The sequence below is a fragment of the Homo sapiens genome, chromosome 2 (assembly GCF_000001405.40).
Source record: "Homo sapiens chromosome 2, GRCh38.p14 Primary Assembly".
Taxonomy (NCBI): domain Eukaryota; kingdom Metazoa; phylum Chordata; class Mammalia; order Primates; family Hominidae; genus Homo; species Homo sapiens.
The window spans coordinates 5,594,156-5,615,636 of record NC_000002.12 but is presented as its reverse complement, the minus strand read 5'-3'; the positions used below and the strand labels follow the sequence as shown (position 1 = coordinate 5,615,636).

At 40.8% G+C, this 21,481-nt stretch overlaps 1 long non-coding RNA gene across 2 annotated transcripts; it reads left to right on the top strand.

Moving 5' to 3' along the window:
- The first annotated feature begins 10,470 nt into the window (after positions 1-10,470).
- LOC107985843 (uncharacterized) lies at positions 10,471-13,900 on the top strand. 2 transcript variants are annotated; one of them, XR_001739263.1, is made up of 3 exons: positions 10,471-10,578; positions 11,463-11,846; positions 12,794-13,900. It is a non-coding gene; the product is annotated as an uncharacterized LOC107985843 (long non-coding RNA). The 2 variants fall into 2 exon arrangements; XR_001739262.1 differs by lacking the exon at positions 11,463-11,846.
- Positions 13,901-21,481: the final 7,581 nt, after the last annotated feature.

The window sequence follows — 21,481 nt, the reverse complement described above, 5'->3', positions numbered from 1 at the left end:
AAACACCTAATTTCAGAAATATTTGAAGAAGATCTTCAGCATCCCTGGAGTGTTCCTCCTCTCAGTCCCATTTTCATCCCTCTCGGAGTTGACTATTTTTCTGAATTTTTGTTCCTTCTCCTATGCATGTTTTTAAACGTGAACTAATCATGAGTATATTTATAAATAACAGGTATTATTTAATATAATTATAACTTTATGTCGTGAATTCATACTGTACATATGCATCTCATCTTGCTTCTTAATTCAGCATTATATTTTTGTGGGGCATCTTTGGTACTATATGGAGTTCTAGTCAATGAATTTTAATTGCTATATAGCATAACATTGTATGAAGAGTTCACGTTAATATTTATTAATTGTTAGTTTGCCGGACATTTAGGTGGCTCCTAGTGTTTTGCTATTTCAGACACCATACAGACAGTCTTTATGTGTCTCCCTAACCCAATATATCACCTTTTCTAAGTTTTATACATGCAGTGGCATGATTTTAGGTCATTGTATCCATACATTTTTTGCTTTATTAGAAAAAGCAAACTTATTTTTCAAATTAGCTCTACCAATTTACCTACCAAATAGTAATGTATGAGAGTTCCCTTTGCTACGTATTTTCTTCAACTTTTGAAATTATCAAACCTTTACATTTTTCCTCATTTTATAGTTTTGAAAGGACATGGTTTTAGTCTATATTTCTCTGTTTTCTTATGAGGCTGAGAATTTCACCATGACTTTTAGCTGTTCAAATTCTCCTTTCTATTTGCATTTTTCATTTTGGTTACTTATCTTATGTGTTTATAGTAGTTCTTCATACGTTTTGGTTATTAACTTCTTTCATGCTTTCTGAGTTCCAAATATTTTCATTCTGTCTGTGGCTTGTTCTTATAACTTTGTTTATGATATTCATTTCAATTTTAATAGAGTCAAACTTACCATGTATTTAATTTATAGATTGGATTTTTAAAGTCTTGTTTAAAAAAGACTTCCATATCCCAGCAGTCATAAAAATATTCTCCTAGATTTTCTTTAAAATGCTGTAATGGTTTGCCTTTCAAACTTTAAAATCAGGGCTCTTAAAATGTTTTTCACATATGGATCAATTATTGTTCCAGCATCTCAGCTTTGTGTGCGTGTTTTAATTAGTGTATTCTCTCTCTCCCTTTGTAGCCCTCTACTTCCAGATCTTAAGGTTGCGTTTGAAGTTCCCAGAGAGTGTCTGTTTCCATCCCATTTGTCTTTTTATGTGCTTCTTAACTTTCCTAATGGCTAAACAAATCTGTATATCCAGGCTGGGTTCTTGGCATCTTTTCTCGATGACAGACTTATATAATCACCTTCTGGCTGGCTATCTTCACTAAAATCCTGCAGACACCTCAAACCCAAGGAATCCAAATCTATCTTCCCTCCCCTATTTCTCCCAACAGTTAGTGGTTTTCCAGATTCAATTTTCATGGGAAATGGTAAAGAAGAATTAAACTACCAAATGCTGCTTATTATCTATATGACCATGGACCATAGGCAGTTACCTAAGTAACTCTGTGCCTATCTTTTCTCATCTGTAAAATGGAGTGTGTTAGTCTGTCCTCACAGCGCTAATAAAGACATACCAGAGATTGGGTAATTTATAAAGAAAAGAGGTTTAATTGACTCACAGTTCAACATGGCTGGGAGGCCTCAGGAAACTTGCAATCATGGTGGAAGAGGAAGCAAACAGCTCCATCTTCACATGGCGGCAGCAAGGAGAAATGCTGAGCAAAAGGAGGAAAAGCCCCTCATAAAACCATCAGATCTCCTGAGAACTCATTCACTATCACAAGAACAGCATGAGGGTGACCACCCCCATGATTCAATTAGCTCCCCATGGGTCTTATCCACGATACGTGGGAATTATGGGAATTGCAATTCAAGGTGAGATTTGGGTGGGGACACAACCAAACCGTATCATGGGGATAATAAATGATTTTTTTCATAGTGTTGTAAGGATTAACAAAGCACATAAACATGTGTGTGTGAGTGTGTGTGCGAGTGTGTGTGTGTGTGTTAGAACAATGCCTGGCACATAGCTAACACTTTACAAATGTCAGCCAATACAATTCATTATTCCTACTCTGTGCCAAGTAGGCTAGTAGATATCATTTTGCTCAATGAGAACCAGAAAATGTTACAAGCCAAACATACATAATATGGTTCTTATGTTGGCAAGGCTCACTTTGCGAGAGCATCCTCTATTGCTGCTTCTTTCTGATAAAAATACAGCTACTTGGCTGCGTCCAGTAGCTCATGCATTTAATTAGAGAGCTTTGGAAGACTGAGGCAGGAGAATCATTTGAGACCAGGAATTTGAGACCTACCGGGGCAACATAGTGAGACCCTATCTCTACAAAAAATAAAATAAGTAGCTGGGCATGGTGGAATGCACCTGTGATTCCATCTAATTGAGAGGCTGAGGCAGGAGGATCACTTGAACCTGGGAGGTCAAGGGTGCAGTGAGCTACAATCACACCACTGCACTCCAGCCTAGGCAACAGAGGAAGACCCTGTCTCTTAAGAAAAATACAACTTCTTAATACTTGGGGATTCACCATTGCCATATTTGAGCCCCCAAAGACAAGGTCTCCATGTTCCTCGTATCTCATGGATACCCTGGCATGAAGTGATTTAAGCCCCTTTTCTCAGGAAGCCCCCTCTGCAGCTGGGCTGGGCTTCACCTCACTTCCCCTTGCTGTTGTTTCAGCCAAGATCCAGCAAGCACCGTGGCGGAGAGTACTGCAGTAACAGCACAAAGCTGAAATAGCCCTGCTCCTGCCAATTGAAGTGTGACCCAGAACTGTTTTGCTAAATGAGTGTTGTGATTGTTTCCCCAGCTGTTCCTATTAGGATAATTAATATAATTAACAATAAAGGCTTTAATTATAGATGTTTAATGGGAGGCATTTATAATTATCACCCAAACCTGAATGAGATTCATGGGAAACTTTTATTGAGTGCCTACTAAATACTTTTCATATAGTACCTTATTTAACCTCTACAGAAATCCTTCAAATTTAGGAATGACTTAATTTTAAATGAAGAACCAAGATTACTATAGTTTTCTGGAGCTGACATTACAAAGTATCACACACTGGTAGCTTAAAAGATAGAAACGTATTGTCTCCCAGTTCCAGAAGCCAGACGTCTGGGATGACGGTGTTGGCCGGGTCAATTCCTTCTGCAGGCTCTGAGGGGTCTGTTCCTTGCTTCTCTCCTAGCTTCTGGTCCCTCAGGTGTTCCTTGGCCTGTAGATGGCTGACTTCCCCGTGTCTTCCTAAAGCCTTCGTCCACACATGTCTGTGTCTAAATTTCTCCTTTTTATAAGGACATGCTCATATCTGCTAAGGGCCCATCCTAATAATCTCCTCTTAACTTGATCATCTGCAGAGACCCTATTTCCAAATAAGGTCACACTCTGAGATACTCTGGGTTAGGACTTCAACATCTCTTGGGGAGCCCAACTCAGCTCCCAACAATTGCTGCTAGAAAGTGGCAGAGCGGGAACTTGAATATGAAGGCACTGTGTGTCTAGGACACCCTGTCCCTATTTCTTCCCCACATGACTCCAGGTGTCCTCTGCCATCTTGGACCAATCTCCTGCCTAAGTCAGCCTCTTCTTTTGAGTCTCCCAGAATTTTTATTTTCTTCATCATTGTCTTTATTCTCTACTTTAATAACCCTCCCTTTTCCTCTGAGTGAGCACTCATACATGCTCAAATATTTCCTATCTTTAACAACATGTTTTTATATCTCTAAATCCAATGTCCCCTTCCAGCTTTCAACCAATCTTTCCCATGCCTGTCAGCTGAGCAGCCTGAAATGAATTCTGTCTTCTCCATCCTTCATGGTCCACACGCGTCCTCACCTCAGCTGGCTGTGCCCCACCCCAGCCATACCACGAACTGTTTTCTCTTGCATTGTCAAGGACTTCTACAGCACCGAGTTTCAGTAACACTTTGGCACCATCATCTCCTGAATCCCTGCTATGGACTGAAAGCCTGTGCCACTCCCTGCAAATCCATATGCTGAAGCCCTGATGTCCAATGGGATGGCATTAGGTGGTGGGGACTATGATGGTTAATATTAGGTGTCAGCTTGGCTGTATTGAAGGATGCCTACATGGCTGGTAAAGTATTGTTTCTGGGTGTGTCTGGGAGAGTGTTGCCAGAGGAGATTGCTGTTTGCGTCAGTGGACTGGAAGAGGAAGACCTACCCTAGGTGTGAGTGAATACCATTCAATCGGCTGCCACTGAGGCTAGAACAAAGCAGGTGGGAGAAGGGGAAGAAGACACAGCTTGCCGAGTCTCCTGTCTCTCTTTTTTCCTCCCTATGCCAAACGCTTGCTTCCTCTTTTTCTGCCCTTGGACATCAGACTCCGGGTTCCTCGGCCTTTGGACTCTGGGACTTGAACCAGCAGCCTCCTGGGGCCTGGACTGGGAGCTGCACTTTCAGCTCCCTGGTTTTGAAGCTTTTGGACTTGGACTGAGCCATGCTACCAGCTTCTCTCCCCAGCTTGCAGACGGCCTATCATGGGACTTTACCTTGTAATTGTGTGAGCCTAATAAAATTCTTTTTGTATAGACATATATCTTCTAGGTTCTGTCCCTCTGGTTAATGCTGACTAATACAGGGACTCTGGGAGGTGATTAGGACATAAGGGTGCAGCCTTTGTGAATGGGATTAGTGCCCTTTTAATAAGCAGCAAGAGAGAGGTAATTTTTCTCTCTCTCTGACATATAGGTACACAGCAAGAAGGGGAGAAGGTAATTACCCTCCGTAAACCAGAAGAAGAATTCTCCCCAGGAACCCAATTGGCAGGGACTTTCATCTTAGACTTTCCAGCTCTCAGAACTGTTAGAAATCAATGTGTTGTTTAAGCTACCCAGTCTATGACAGCTTTGTTATAGCAATCCAGAATGACTAAGACAAACCCTCAGCATGGGTTATTTGCTAGACCATTCTCCTGGAAACATTGTCTTCTCTGTCCTTTCATTTAAATGTTGGAGTCCTTGGGAGCATCTTGATTTTCCTAATAACTTGGGACCTTCCCTGAGTACCATCACCCACGCCAATGGCCTTACTGACCTGCTGCCTTCTGGTGCCCTCCAGCATGAGACTCTGAGCTAGATTCTTCCCAGCTCTGCCCTGAATCTCTAACAGCCACTTCAGCATCTCCAGTGATGTGCCTCACAGGTACCTCAAAACTAGCACGTCCAAAATGAACTCAAAATCCCCCACTCTCCCCAAACCTGTTCTTTCAGTGTGGGATATTTAGAAAATGGCACTACCATTTTTTTAAAAAAATTTTAGATTAAAACTCGTAAAGTCAATTGTAACTCTAGAGTCTTCCTCTCCTCCCTGCCTCCAGCCCCACAAATGACCAAATCCAATCACTTATGTCACCAATGCAATGTAAGGGGGAGGGAGCAGCCCAGAAAGTAGAGATGGAAGATTCTTGAAATATAACTCCTCTATTTCAACTGTCCTAGAACTTTTTTTTTTAATTTAAAAAAATGATAATTGGTTAGTCTTGCAAAATGAGAAACCTTAAATGTTCAAACCACTTCACCAAAAACACATTTGGGAGGATCTTAGTTGAATCAAAATGAAAAATTAAAAGAAATATCTGCTCTCTGGGAGACAACAAATCTTTCTCATATTTCTGTTCTCTTGTCTATGACTTAGAAACGTCACACTGTGGGGGGCTCCCCCTCCCCAGTTGAGCATGGCTTTGAAAATACAGTTCATGTCTAATTTCTACCTTTTAGAATTTAGAAGCTTTTTAAGTTTTTAATGTACAGGGCTTTATATTTCATTTTTAAAAGTGCTTTCTTGGACACCAGATCCTCTTATTGTATAAGTTACAGAGGCACGTCTAGACCGTGATTATTTTTAACTGAAAAGGAGAGTTCAGAAGAAGTCACTAGGTTGTGTATGTTAAGGTGGACATGAGACGTCAGCGTTTGCTCCGAGAGGTAGGAAGAGGCCTCATTAGGTTGAAAGCAGTCTGCAACCAGGGAGTTTGGAGCAGGAACTAGAGGAGACAGAAAACCCTGAAAATACAGAACCACATTGTAAAAATGTAGACACGCTGCCTGTGATCTTTCATGGAATTGACATCTATAGCAAATAGCAAAGACTTCACCTCATTCTTTTCCTGTCCTTAACTAGGAACAGACCTGGCCTCCCGGGAGCCTCAGTGAGAGAGGGTGGGGAGGGGCAGAGATGGTGGTGGAGGAAAGGGAGGGGCTCAGGCAGTGGCCGGGGAATGAGGCTGAATGCAAGACTCAGAGGCAGAGAATCTCCACCTGGAGAATTCAGCTAAATGAGATTTGTTTTGTTTTGTTTTAGGAAAATGACTTACTTTTGGTTGCTAAATTAGTCCACCTAATAAAAAGTGGTATTTCCCTTTTCTTTGTAATGCAAAGATTTTAAAATAATATATCACTCAATTTAAATCCACATCACCGGCCCTGTGGGCTTTTACAAGCTTCCTTTTCCTGTCATCCAGATTGAGGAGGTGCTGCACTGGGAATATGAACACTTTCGCACTAGTCATAGTTGGGGAGACATGGTGGGGACCACTCCTAGTTTTTGTTGATGGCTTATGGGTGTTAGCAGGTAATTTCATCATTAAATAATTCTATAAGGCAGATATCATTTTCACATCACAAGTAAGGTAAACTGAGGCCCAGAAATGTAAGGTGATTTTCCAATATTGCCTGCCTGAAGCTCAGATCTTGAGGGACTGAGATGGCTTTTAAAAGAGCAGCTTCACCTGGCTGGGATGCGTGCGGGGTACATGATGGAGATGGGCTGGAGGAGGAGGCACTGGCGAGCCCCTCAGCATCGCCTGTATTTTATTTATTTATTTATTTATTTATTTATTTATTTATTTATTTATTTTATTTCTTTATTTTGAGACAGAGTCTGGCTCTGTCGCCCAGGCTGGAGTGCAGTGGCGTGATCTCAGCTCACTGCAAGCTCTGCCTCCCGGGTTCACGCCATTCTCCTGCCTCAGCCTCCTAAGTAGCTGGGACTACAGGCGCCCGCCACTACGCCCGGCTAAGTTTTTGTATTTTTAGTAGAGACGAGGTTGTACCGTGTTAACCAGGATGGTCTTGATCTCCTGACCTTGTGATCCGCCTGCCTTGGCCTCCCAAAGTGCTGGGATTACAGGCGTGAGCCACCGCGCCTGGCCTGCCTGTATTTTATAAAGATGGCTCAAATAGCTCGGATGACGTGTACACGTGTCTGAGTTTGAATACAGGTTTGTTGCCCATCTCCTGGCCATATCATGTTGCTGACTAAGTAGTTAAAGTTGACGAAATCCTGGCCCTGAGTTATACCAGTAATTTCAGGTCTGTAAGAAATACGTTTAACAAGTCAATACGTGGGACATTCATGGAATCCAGAACCTGACATACAAAAGCTCCACAAACGATAGTGGCCTTTAGAAAGCGTTCTCCTTGCAGGATGCATCTGATAGATAGGATTACCCCTGAAATAGAGCGGCTGCCATTCTGGGTTCTGTTTATAGTCTTCTTTCCTCACGTTTGTGCAGAGCCTTCCTCTTCCCATCACCAGGGCCCAGCGCTCTCGCCTCTCCCTTCCGTCCTCACTGCCGCACACACACTCAGCGCGGCCCCTTCAAACTCCACCTCATCCACTCAGGTTCTCTCCTTCACACTGCAGAAGGAAAAGGACATTTTCTTAGCCAAAAGTCCTTTGCAGATCAGAGTGCTTTTAAAATTTTAATCTTTATGTTGCTGTTGGGGCAGATAAAAAGTGGTGAAGTCCATGACAGGTAACAGAGCAGAGTCATAAACCAAAGGCAATGGGTCAAGGCTGAGGTTAAGAGGCTGCAAGTTCCAGTGAATCCCTTCAGGGAGGCATCTGAGGTCATGGTCAGCAGGGCTGGGAGGTGCAGAGGAGCCCTCAAGCAGGGTTCTGAAAAGAGCAGTTGGCAGTCCCTGGCTCCAAAAGGTCCACTGAAGGTCCGCAGTGCTATCGCGGCCTTCCTCTGGTTCCTATGGCTTCTGATTCTGAAACTGGAGAGCTTTGCTGTTTTTATCCTGGAAATGATGAATTAAAGCAATACATCTTCAGGATCAAGTAGCCTGAAGTGAGGCAGATTGGATCTGTGTGTGTCTGGAAGATGGAAGACCTACACCTACTAACAGGAGTTCTTTCCTTGAAGAAATCTGTGTTATTCTTTGGGGAAATAACAACATTTTTCTAATTATGTTCACAAATGTCATGGCTACTTCAGGTTCCTAAAGCTTGACCTCTCCCACCAACCCTCACTTTCCTCCTCTTCCTCTAGCCCTATTTTTCCTCCTCTCCCTCACCCACTATCCTTTCTTTTCCTTCATCGGCTTTTCTTAAGCTGAACCCTATAACCTAAAAAAACCCCCGCTATTTCTGGTTTTAAGGGAAAAGCTTTGCACATGGCCAGCATCAGAATGTGGAGCAGTCTGCTTGGTTTGCCTGTGGGATTAGGTAAGCTGTGGCCTCGGCAGCCCATTCCAGTGGAGGACATCCCCTGGGGTCAGACGCTCAGCATCCGAAGATGAGTGATGTTAGGCATTTGAAAGCTTATGCATATCAAACAGTCAGTTAAGTAAGACTAAGTTAATTCCACATATTACACTTTCCCTAAATGTTGCTTTACAACAAAGGTTGCAATTGAGATGCATAAGGAAAATTGTATATTCTGATTCAGCATTTTGAAGTGGAGAATTAAATCTTTGGATGATCTTTTTTTTGTTTTTTTTTCCTATTTGAAATTTATCTGCAGCTTGCATCTCCTGCTCATTAGCTGTGTGCCCCTCAGCAAGTGGATCCACCTCTCTGGGCTTGGGTTTCCCCTCTATACAATGTGAGGGTTACGGAGGAGCTCTGAGCTCTTTCACAGTTTGATGTCTATAATGCTTTTATTAATATAATCATAAACCCAACTACTTCTCTCAAGTCCTTCAAAAAAGTATCTGAATTTACAAACCTCACAAATTCCACTTCCTATAAATATTGGCAAGATGCATCTGGGGTAGAGCCAGACCGAGGCCAACCTGGGAAGGAGGCAGCGATTGTCTCTCGGTTGTCCCTCCTCTCAATAGCTTCCCTGAGGCTGGATCCCTTCTTGTAGCTCCCTTAGCTTCTGGTGCCTCCATCCCAAGGACATCAAATTGCTTGGGGAGCCTCTGCCCTGCTGCCACTCCTCTCCCCAGTTGCAGGCCTCATACTTTCATTCTTTTTATTTCCTTTCTCTTGTCTCTTCAAAATTCACACTAACCAGGGCTGTCTTTTCTTTTCTTGAGATATCACCAGGAACCTGTAGAGTCAGGGAATGTCAGCGCAGAAGAAGATATGAAATATTACCTAATCAGAGCCCTTCATTTTACCACTGGGAATTGAAATCAAGAAAGAAGATGTGGTTTGACCACACAGCTCAGTACTGGCAGAGCCCATGGTAGATTCAGGCTTCTTGATTTTTGCACTCTCAGTACAATATGTCACAACTGCCAGACAGATTGCATATTTGCAAACACCCTTAAATATCAGTAAATAAGGACATTTAATAATTGTAATACATTAAAAGTATTCATCAGTGCTAATAATCATTCACTGTATTTTAACAAGGATCTGGAAGGGAAAAAAATCATTTCTAAAAGTCAGGCTGACCTAGAGAGAATGTATCCAGAAAACGTTTGTTTCTATGGGATGATTGAGGTCCATCACCAAGCAGGCTGGTGGAGACAATGTCCTGAGTGGGAGATGGGGACAGATGTTTCCAGGCATCATTCAGATGGTGCCACATATGCTGTGGAGTATAAAAATCATCCCTGAAGCCAAGAGGTCGATGACTTCCAAATATTTCCTTTGCTTTCTGGGCGGACCAGTTAAATTCTGTCATTCTCTTCTATCTGTGTAACTGCTTTGGGATTATTAGTTTGCTATTATTATTATTATTATTATTATTATTATTATTTGTGTAAGTCCACAGAACAAGATTTTAATTTTCTCTACACCTGTCTCCTATCAGATTTCTAAATGATATTGTCTAAATGTCACAAATGGCTTCTTTTGAAGCAATAAAATTTGATTGGAAGGTTTCTATATCTAGATTATTGGCTGGAATTGGTAGATTTGCCATTTTCATTGTCTCTTAGATTTTCTCTCTAGTTTCCCTCAAACATCTCTTATATTAGGGCTAGACCATCCCCTTGTGGGTGCTATTTGGCATGATCTCAGCTGTAATGTCCAGAAAAAATTGTGGAAAACACTTGTCATGCAACAATTAAAGGCTTCCCATTCTCTGTTGGTTTAGATCACAGGGATTTTCCAAACTCAGTTTCCCTCTCCAATTTGTAAATATTGCTCTGTGCTCCAAAATCTATCTAAAGTACCATGGATTTTTTATCTACTGTATTATCCAGATCCATTATCTACTATATGGTCAGAAGATTCTGAAGGCATGAAGACATACTTCTCTGGGCCCTGGGAGGCTTCTGACAGGAGGAGTCACATGCCTAGGAAGTATCCTAACAGGTAATAGATTTTGGATTCTAGATATTCTTTAGTAGCTACATGCAAGCCCTTTGTAAGCCCCTCCAAAGTGCCAGGCACTGGAGTAGACACTGCTGAACATATGCATGCACAGTCTGTGATTGTCAACATAACTCTGAAAGGCTGCCAATAGGAAATGGGTAAACCAAGACACAGAGAGGTTAAGCTCCTTCCTCAAGGAAGGATAAAACATTAGAGTACATACAGTAGATAATCCAGGGCTAAACGCAAGCTTCTCTAGTTGAATATAGTAACTTCTTACTCTCTTGTCCCCTTGCTCTCTTGCTCTTCCATCTTCCACCACAGCATGTTGCAGCATTAAGGTCCCCTCCAGATGCTGATGCAATGTTCTTTGACTTCCCAACTTCTAGAACCATGTTCTTTCAACATCTTCCAAAGTGAATCTGGGCACTTGAGTTAGAGGACAGGCTATTCCAAAGTTCATGTGTTTACTCCTAGGAATCTTTTCCATGTGGGGATATTCTGTGGAGGGATCTTAAGTTATGATTCTGAAGGATGATGCTGGGGGTAGGGAAGGACGTAGAGCAAGCAGGAATCCAGTAAGAGAGTTTGGGAGGCTATGCCCACTAGGCCACAGTTTTTAAACTTTGTGAACTGAAATTATTGGAATGTCAGAATCAGGAAGACTGGATAATATAATAGGTAAAAAATCCATGGTACTTTCGATAGATTTTGGAGCACAGAGCAATATTTACAAATTGGAGAGGGGAATTGGGTAGCAGATGTTTGTTACTGTATGGATTGCATCCATTTAAGAAATGTACAAGAAGTTAAATGAAGTGCAGAATGAATTTGTAAAGCATTTTCAATTGTCTATTGTGGATTTATGGGGTACTTATTCACAGTGCCAAGAATCATGAAAGAGGCAAGGAATACAGACACGGATAAGATCAAGTTTTCCCACTGAGATGCTCAATCTAGAAGGATGGAAGAGCTGAGAGAAGGAGTTACATTATAATCTGCTCACTTCCCATCTGAAAGCCTGTGCAAAATGCTAGGGGTGAGAAGAAGACATAAAAGCAGCCCAGGGATGCTGTACGGAGAGAGACACTTGAGCTGAGTCCTCCTATCTGAGAAGATATCAGATGGTTGCGTGGAGGAAAAGTACTTTTCAGGCAGAGAGAGGTGCTAGCACAGCCATAGGAGCCTTGAAGAGATGAGGGAACAGCTTGGATGCCTAGAACCTGAAAGAGACATGGCAGGAAGTGTGGGAACCAAGAGCAGCAAGAGTGAGTGGCCATGCACAGATGTTTGTCAGTGCTTTTATGAATTTCACCATATTCCTATGGGTTGAAGCAAGTCACATGGCAAGCTCAGATTTAAGGGGTAGAGAAACAGGCATCAACTTTTGATGGAGTTCTGCAAAATTGCATTTTTAAAGGGGCCTGAACAAGGATGTCAAGAATTCCAGATTGCTTTTGCAGTCAACTGTAGATAATGTATACCAGCACTAACCAATAGACAAGGAAACAAGGATGGAAATGCTCTATATCTGCGCTGTCTGTCCAGGATGGTGGCATTAGCCACATGTGGCTATTTTAATGTTAATTGTATTTAATTATAATTAATTTAAACTTAAATAGCCACATGTGGTTAGCTATTAGTGTATTAGACATTGAAGAATTCATTTCAAATGTTTCTGACACAGTCCAGCTTAGTAAAATTTTATTTATTCTCCCTGGTATTATTTGGAACAAGGTCACAGTTCTCCTAAGTGCCATCAACAGTAAATAAATTCAAATTCACTCCCATTAAGTATCAGTTGCTTTTTAAGTGTTCTATCATAGAAAATGGTTTTTACCTCCTTAAAACTTGTGATAATGGCAGTAGTCTTGTGCTAGATCCCATCATGGTGTGGAAAAATGACTCCTGAACCACATGTTTAGGAGACTGATGGCTTCACACTTCAAGGGTGCTTTGGTTTGAATGTGTTCACAAAAGTTAATTTGTTAATTTACAAATTGAAAAGTTAATTTGTTGGAAACTTAATTCCCAATGCAACAGTGTTGGGAGGTGTGGCCTAATAAGAAAGCCCTGACCTAATGAATGAATTTACATGGTTATTGTGGGAGTGGGTTAAGTTATCACAATAGTGGGCTTGTTATAAAAGTAAACTTACTACTTTCTTACACTCTTTTGTTCTCTTGCTCTTTTGCCTTCCCACAATCCGCCACAGGATGATGCAGCATGAAGGCCCCCCTCAGATGCTGGTGCAATGATCTTGGACTTCCCAACCTCCAGAACCATGAGCCAAACAAATTTCTATTGTTTATAAATTACCCCGTCTCAAGTATTCTGTTATAGCAACACAACTGGACTAAGACAGAGGGTTACACGTATCTTTCACAGGAATTCCTTGGGGCTTAATACAAATCCTTGAGAGTTCTAGCCCAGATGCAGCCTAGAAATGTGAAGATGAAGGAGGTAGGTAGTAGGGTTGTTATTAATCCTAGGGGAAACCCTCCACTATGGGATTCTGAAATCAGCAGATAAATGCTGCAGCCCCCAGACTTGTGAAGAAATTTTTGAGATTCATCTTCTCTGGTTCTTCAGCACATCACCAAGGCATGGACCTGCAGTTGGCTCCAGCTATAACTAGCTCAATGATGCATCCTTCACTGTTTTTCTTTCTTTCCCCATTTTTCTCTGTATGTTTCCTTACTTTAGCTTCCTGGGATCAACTCCCAAATAAGCTACCTGAAGCCAACTGTTTGCCCAATACACTTTCTTCAGGAAACCCAGTCTGAGACATAAGAAAACAAATCAAATGCTAATTCAGTGGTTCAGTTGGTAAAAATAACAGAGACTCAGCCTAGTTGGCACTAGTGGAGATAAAGAAAAGAGGACAACTTTGTTATGCATTTTATAGACAGTCATGAGGCATGCAAATTGGTGTAATGTATGCAGAAAAAGAAAGGGAAATTTTCAGTGTGATACTACAGTTAGTCCACTGTATACCTAGAATTGTCTTTTTCAGAGAAAGATGGTGGCCTTTGGAAAAGGTACAGATTTGGGAGGAAGATCGTTAATTCAATTTGGGCATGTTATGTCCAAACTACATTAAATACTTGAGAACTATTTCTTTAATAATGGATGAGTGAAGTCAGTTCATTTCCAAGCTTCTTATTTGTCTTATCTGTGAAAGAAAAATTGTGATGTCTAGTACCCAGATATGTAAAAAGTAAATGTAATCTACCACATTAAAGCTCAAAATGCTCGATGTTTTTGCAAATATAAAATAATGTGACTTACTTTAAAGATAATAAATTAAATATTAAACATGGCTTTTTGATTTTATCATGTTTCCCCTGCTCATGCAACTGATGTGTGCTTATTCCTCTGGGCAATGTCACGTTACATTTCTCTTCATCCAAAGAGCAACCGCCGCAGCTGCATATAATGGAGTAGGTAGGAGACAGTCATCATCTTTTAGCTGTACAAATGATCAGTTCATCAAATAATGAATACTCTCCAGTTTCTAAAATAATGATATTTTCAGACATTCTTATTATTTAACCTCCCAATAATTGTATGATGTAGGTATATTTCTGTTATAGATTCAAAATTGAGAATCAGGAAAGTGCATTGCTTTGTCCAAAATCATGTACAGTCATGCATCATATAATGATATTTTGGTTAATGATGGACCACACATATGATGGTGGTACCATAAGATTATAATGCAGCTGAAAAATTCCTATGGCATAGTCAGAGCACAGCCATCATAACATCATAGAGCAACACATTCCTCATGGGTTTGTGGTGATGGTGGTGTAAACAAACCTACTGTGTTGCCAATCGTATAAAAGTCTAGCACATACAATTATGTATAGTACATAATGTTTGATAATAAAAATAAAGGACTATGTGACTGGTTTATGTATTTACTAGACTGTACATTTAATTGTTATTTTAGCATATATTCTTACTTTTAAAAAAGTTAACTATAAAATAGCCCCAGGCATGATCTTCAGGAGGCAATCAAGAGGAAGGCATTGTTATCAGAGAAGGTCACAGCGCCATGGGTGTTATTCCGCCGAAGACCTTCCAGTGGGACAAGATGTGGAGGTGGAAGACAATTATATTTATGATCCTGACCCTGTGTAAGCATAGGCTAATGTATGTATTTAGGTCTTGGTTTTTAACCAAAAAGTTTAAAAAAATGAATGAATTTTAAATTAGAAAACAGTTTACAGAATAAGAATACAAAGAAAGAATACTTTTGTGTAGTTGTACAATGTGTGTTTTAAGCTAGGTATTAGAAAGTTATAAAGTTAAAAATGACAGTTTATAAAGTAAGAAAGTTACAGTAAGCTAAAGTTAATGTACTATTGAAGGAATAGTCTTTTTTAAAATGTAGTGTAGCCTAGATGTAGACGGAGTGTTTATAAAGTGTACTGTAGTGTACAGTAATGTCCTAGGCCTTCACATTTACTTACCACTCACTCACTGATGCACCTAGGACAACCTGCAGTCCTGGAAGCTCCATTCACGGCAAGTGTCCTATACAGGTGCAGCATTTTTTACCTTTTATACCATATTGCACTGTATTATCTTTCTTTCTCTTTCTTTCTTTCTTTCTTTCTTTCTTTCTTTCTTTCTTTCTTTCTTTCTTTCTTTCCTTCCTTCCTTCCTTCCTTCCTTCCTTCCTTCCTTCCTTTCTTTCTTTCTTTCTTTCTTTCTTTCTTTCTCTCCTTCTTTCTTTCTTTTCTTTTTTTTTTTTTTCGAGACGGAGTTTCACTCTTTTGCCCAGGCTGGAATGCAATGGCATGATCTAGGCTCACTGCAACCTCCACCTCCTGGGTTCAAGCGATTCTTCTGCCTCAGCCTCATGAGTAGCTGGGGTTACAGGTGTCTGCCACCACAACCGACTAATTTTTGTATTTTTAGTAGAGACGCGGTTTCGCCACGTTGGCCAGGCTGGTCTTGAACTCCTGACGACAAGTGATCCGCCCACCTTGGCCTCCCAAAGTGCTGGGATTATAGAAGTCAACCACCATGCCCAGCTGCATTGTACCTTTTCTATGTTTTGATGGGTTTAAATACACAAGTACTCACCATTGCCTATAGTATTCAGTACACTAACCTGCCTGTTTATAGCCTAGGAGCAATAGGCCACACCATACAGTCCAGGTGTGTAGTAGGCGCTACTATCTTGTTGTGCGTAGGTACACCCTATAATGTCCTCACGATGATGAAATAGCCTAAGGATACATTTCTCAGAATACATCTCAGTTGTTAAGTGACACATGACTGTGTAAAGAGGTGTCAAAAATAGGACTCTGAATTTAAAACCCATCTTCCATAAATTTTATCTGACTTGGTAGAATCTCTGATCTAAATTTTGTGCACAAGTCTAGTTGAAAGGAATTCTGAAATTCCTACAACTTTCTATTACAAATATTTAGTCTACTTTGGCATTTTGAATTTAAGAGTGATGAAATGAAACTCCTGCCTCACTCCAAATAACTTCCTTGACTATTTATGCCAGAAATCTTACAATTGCAGTTTTAAACTTAAGCTTAAGCCATTCAGGGATTTTTTTCTCCCTTATGTTAGAACAAAAATTCTCCTAGTGAGTTTCCAAATTCTATCAAATAATTTACTTTTACCTTAAGGTAAACAGTTTAATATATAAAAATCACAAATCAACAGCAAACCTTTATCACTGTTAATTATTCTTTATGGTGTTCCAATTCCCCTGTATCTTGGTTGCCGCTTTCTTACAGATGAAGGTTAGGGTTGGAAGGCACCTCCATAGCAGGATGGGTCATGGTTATTGAGCACTCATTCTGTGTTGAGGGCTGGGATCTAGAGTTTCACTTTGATTATCCCATTAATTATTTCCACAACCCCTTAAGATGGGCCTTGATACACCCATTTTTATAGAGAAGGTTAACAGACTCAGAGAGGTTAAGTGGCACGTTCAACACCATACAGCCAGTCGAGATTTCAACACAAGTCCTTTCAAAGCATTTTCTATGATGGAAAACTGCTTTGAAAAGGAACGAATTTGAAAAGTCCTAGAAAGATTAGAAATGAGATGTTTTGAATTCCAGTCTATGTTTGATCATATAAAACTGCTGGCATTCCGCCTTGTTTCACCAACAAAAGCAGCAATTCATATGGTCCCCTCTAAGCCCTACATGAGGGTCCCTGAAGGGGCTCCCTGCAGTTCCATCCTCCATCTTTCAAGGATTCTTTATACGTTCATGCTGTTCACCTGTATGGGGCTCTGTCATCTCTCAGCTACCGACTGGAGAGGCGCAGAATCCTAGAATCAGTTGGTGTCTTGGTTGAAAGTATTGGATAGTGCCCGGAAATCCTCACAATAAAGTGTTGTCCAATGCACATGTCCCTCTTGATTGCCTGTTCTTGGCCGTGAAACCATATTCTATGTTCTCAGACTTAATGCGTCTACTTGGGCTTCCCACCCAAGTTTCCCACCTCTCTCTCCTTATTTAGGGTAACGAGCAGCACATGCAGCCTTTCCTCCTTCAACAGCATGTAGGAAAATGAGTTTGTCTGGGCTTTTGAATCAGACATACTGGGCTCTGTTCATTTAGGCTCCTGTAGGAGCGAACCCTGAAACAAAGATATGAGTGAAAAGTTTATTTAGGAAGTGATTCTAGGAATGAGACAGGGATGGGAAGACAGCCAGTAAAAGATTTGTTATCAAACAAGTTATGAGTGTGGTTAACTCAGCTTGACCCTGCTGGGGAAATCTGAGCACTGATGTAGAAGTCTTAGCATTAGGTAGTGGAGGGGAAGGGAACTGGGGTATATACAAGCCAGCCTTTAGGTGAACATGGACCTGTCCAGGAGATAAGAAGCCTGTTACTTCCGGCGGGCTCATGGGCAGACTGAGTGAGCTTTGGTGGACAGAGAAATCTAGCAGACAGAAAATGCAGGCTCTAGTAATTAGAAGTTGGCTGGCTCTTGATGGAGTATTCAGGGGTTGCTGATACAGGGGCACCTACACTGGCTTTGAGTTCAATCTGCAACTTTTTGTGGCCTTAGGCAAATCTTTGACATCTCTGAGTCTCCATTTACTAATAAAATTGTGAAATGGTGATATTTCTCAAATTTTAGTAAATAGTGAAATAACTACAGTTCTGTGTTGATTAGAGATGTTATATACATGTAAAGGAACATTTTCTTGAAATCTATTTTATCTGTTTGGGGCCAAGTTTTTACAGAATTTAACCTTATCTCTGAATTCTATTCTAGAACTCTCTGAGAAAGAACCCTGGGTTCTACCCATCTATCTGAACTTTGAAGTTGTTGGAGAACACTTGCTTATTCTGAACAGTAATGAAATTATAAGGCTATCTTGCTTTTGGTTTTTTAAGTTTCTTCGTAACAACAGCTATGTCTTGCCTTGAGCAACTGTATAAAGCTCCCGCCTTTGACTCTTGTTTGAGGCAATGATTTTTGAAGAATATTTGATGCTGTCTCAGAACTGACCAAAACATATCTCATAGGTCCACAAAGACAGGAGGTCCTGATGAATTTAATTTGGGCAGAGACTGGGCTACAATTCAGTCAATGCTGTCCTGTTAGCCTCCATATTAGGAACTGGGAGTGATACTGGGGACACAGGGGCATGGATGAATGACCTTGATGCAGACAGAGGTCAAGTGGCCCTCAATTCTCCAACCAGGTTCCCAGTGGCAGGCAATGCCCTGGCTTCCTGCACCTCTCCAGCAGCTCACATGCACCATCCAAGTTCATCTTGCTAAGGCATGAATCAAGCAATCAGCACAGACCTAGTCAGTAACTACCAGAAACAGTGAATAGCAGCTGAAAGGGATTTGGACTTAGAGCTTATTTGGTTTGATCTGGGTAGATTTTAGTCTCTTGCAACTTCCATGCAATTTGATCACTTGGGTCTAATTTAGACTTTGAAGTGAGACAGACCTTTTGCTCAAATTCCAACTCTGCCCCTAGCAAGATGATCAAGACAACTTATCTTTCTGTTTCCATTTTTATATAAAATGAAAGCAAAAACCATCCACTTAACAGGATTATTGTGAGGCTTAGCAATAAGTCTTGTAAAATTCTTGGCACAGAATCTATGTTCAATAAATTACAGATGCCTCTATGCCTTTTAGAGATATCTGGTGAGACAGCCCATTATCCCTATAAACTCAACATGTCCAATAAATATCAAATTTATTTACTTCTTCCCAAACAGATTTTTCCTCTGATACTCCTTTTCCACATTTTTCGTCTTTCTTTTAGAATAAATTTGGCTTTTATGGCTCTTTGTTTCAGGCCTTTCCATTTAGTAAGGGGCAGATCCACTCATCCTCAAATCCAGCTGGTTTCCATTGACTGTGGCTCTCTCTGTCCCAACTCATCTTCACACTTCTGCCACCAGCATCACCCTAGAATGTCACTTTTACCCAATGTAGCACAGGCCTCCACAGCCTCAGTGAGGAAGGTCACAGCCCCACACCTGGTCTCCAGTGATGTGGAGTGATGAAACCCAAGTTTACCAGGAGCCACACGGTGATCAAGCACCGCACCACTGGATTTTACAGGAGCAATTGCAGCCACAGAACACGGAGTTGAGCTGACAAAGACAGCCTTTTGCTGAGAAGCCAAACCAAGACAGGGCTAATCACTAGGGCCATGAGCACGGGCGTGAAGAAGTGGGAGGAGGCTGGGATCCAGTGAGGAGACAGGATCTGAAAGGAAGCAACATGTGTGTGGAACTTTGTTTTTCTCCTACCCAGCATTCACACTCTTTTTTTTTCTGGCTACAGAACCCTGGATTTCTTTTGGGGGGGGATCACCACTCTCTCATTCTCAGACAGTAGCTCACATGAGTCCCCAGATGTGCCCCAGACCTGACCAATCAGGGTAGAAATTCTCTCATGGACAACAATGTCTATTCAGGAATCAGCATGTGATTTAAGAACATTCAAACCCAGTGAATTCCAAGACTTGCTTGAGAGCTACTGCAAAGACATGTCTTCTCTATCTATTCTTCCCATATCCCAGAACAGTTAGGCAGGCTGACTGTCCTGCCTTTGCATAGAAACTGAGGGTAAAATCAACAGAAGAGAAAGCTGAGAGACGAAGCAGACTGGACACTGACGATCTGTTTAGCCTCTGGATTAAACCTTACCCCAAAATACATCATCTGTTTTGCCTAAGCAGCCACTGATTAGATTTTCTATCACTGCCTCTCCCCCAAACCCCAATCCTAATTGACACACACCCCAAAAGGCTGTGAAAATTGTTGATTATGGCATTAATGTCTGAGGACACGTTATTCTGAGTTTACATGATACTGAATTAAGAATCGTACAGTCCTTATTGGTGAACACTTCTTCCAGGTTCATTTGCACATGAAGTCATACCATGAGAGCAGGTTTCCTCTTACAGACATGGCTGTGACCCATGGACAGAAAGGGCTGTAAGGAAGGATCACTCACTGAATCAGAAACAAACTATGTCCAACTTTGATTTTAGCCTTTGCCCAATGCTCTTGTCTTCTCCATCTCCACTGCCTCTCCTCTGCCCCCACAAAAATCCACCAATCCTTTAAGGTTTAATCAATGGCTTCTCTTTCAGAGCTTGGTTGAGGGGAGTCTCTTGATAATACATTAGATCTACAGTTTCCCTCATCACTCCCCACTTTACATCTAAAACATTTATGCTTTAGTCATCTCTCTTCAGGACTGCATTTCCACAGGGAATTCAGGCATCATTATAAAACTACCTCTCCTGTAAGTATCTGTTCTCCCCAGTCACATTAAAACTTCAGGGCCCAGCTTACATGGTCATCTTTTGGGTGGAGAGTGTACATGTTCCATGAAAGAGACTTCGTGCCATTCCTAGAGTGGCTACACACAAAATCATTTGTTCAAAAGTGTACCCTGTTCCTATATTAAGAAATTATCCTATCACTTACAACTTTGAAAACTATAATCATGGAAAGTTTTTTCCCTTTAAAGAAATGTTTCTCTAAATATTATTTTGTGGAACACTCATATTCTACCAGCTGAACCTACATGTGTACAAGAAATTATATTTTCTCAGTTTACAAGTAAATTTTCCTAACTCTATTTCCCGCTCTCTCTTAGCATGTGCATATGTGTGCATGCGCACACACACACACACACACACACACACTTATTTTTGTGCATTGATTATTTGGTTAAGAGCTTTTTCTCTATTTTAAGGTTCACTCCATTTTGAAGGTATTGTTGTAGTAAGTCCTGGTGTATAACACCATTTTTAAGGAATCTACAAATATTAATTGAAATACTCAAAACTGGATGATTACACTTGGTTTAGCTGTTATTTTTGGCTGAGAATTCTCGTGACTGAAATATTATGTGGCATGCATGGAAGACAGGCCTATTTCTGTAGCAGCATTCTTCACGTCCATATAATAGGATTAAATATGAATGAACACTCCATGGTGTACTATAAAGAGTACTATGACTTTTCAAGTGCACTACTAATCAAATGAGCGTGAGAGCTCTTGTTCTAGACAGAATAAACTCGATATTTGCAGTGGAGGTATGATGGGATTGTGATGAGTTTATGCAATGATCTGTGGGCAAAAGAATTTCAATGTGAAATGTGAATAGTTAAAAAGCAATTACTTGTGATTGTGTAATCCAAATCCATGACAATATAGACTAATCCATTAGACAATGTCTATGTGCTTCGTCTTTTTCATCTCTGAACAAACATATTTTTGAGTACGGTGATTAAGAGCCCAACACATAATGGTTTGAGGCTGAGATTGTTAAAAGGTGATCTCACCCATTATTTTGTGACAAATATTTCTCTCAGGCAATAAGAGCAATCCTAGCAGGAAAACATATTCTCTTAGTATTTC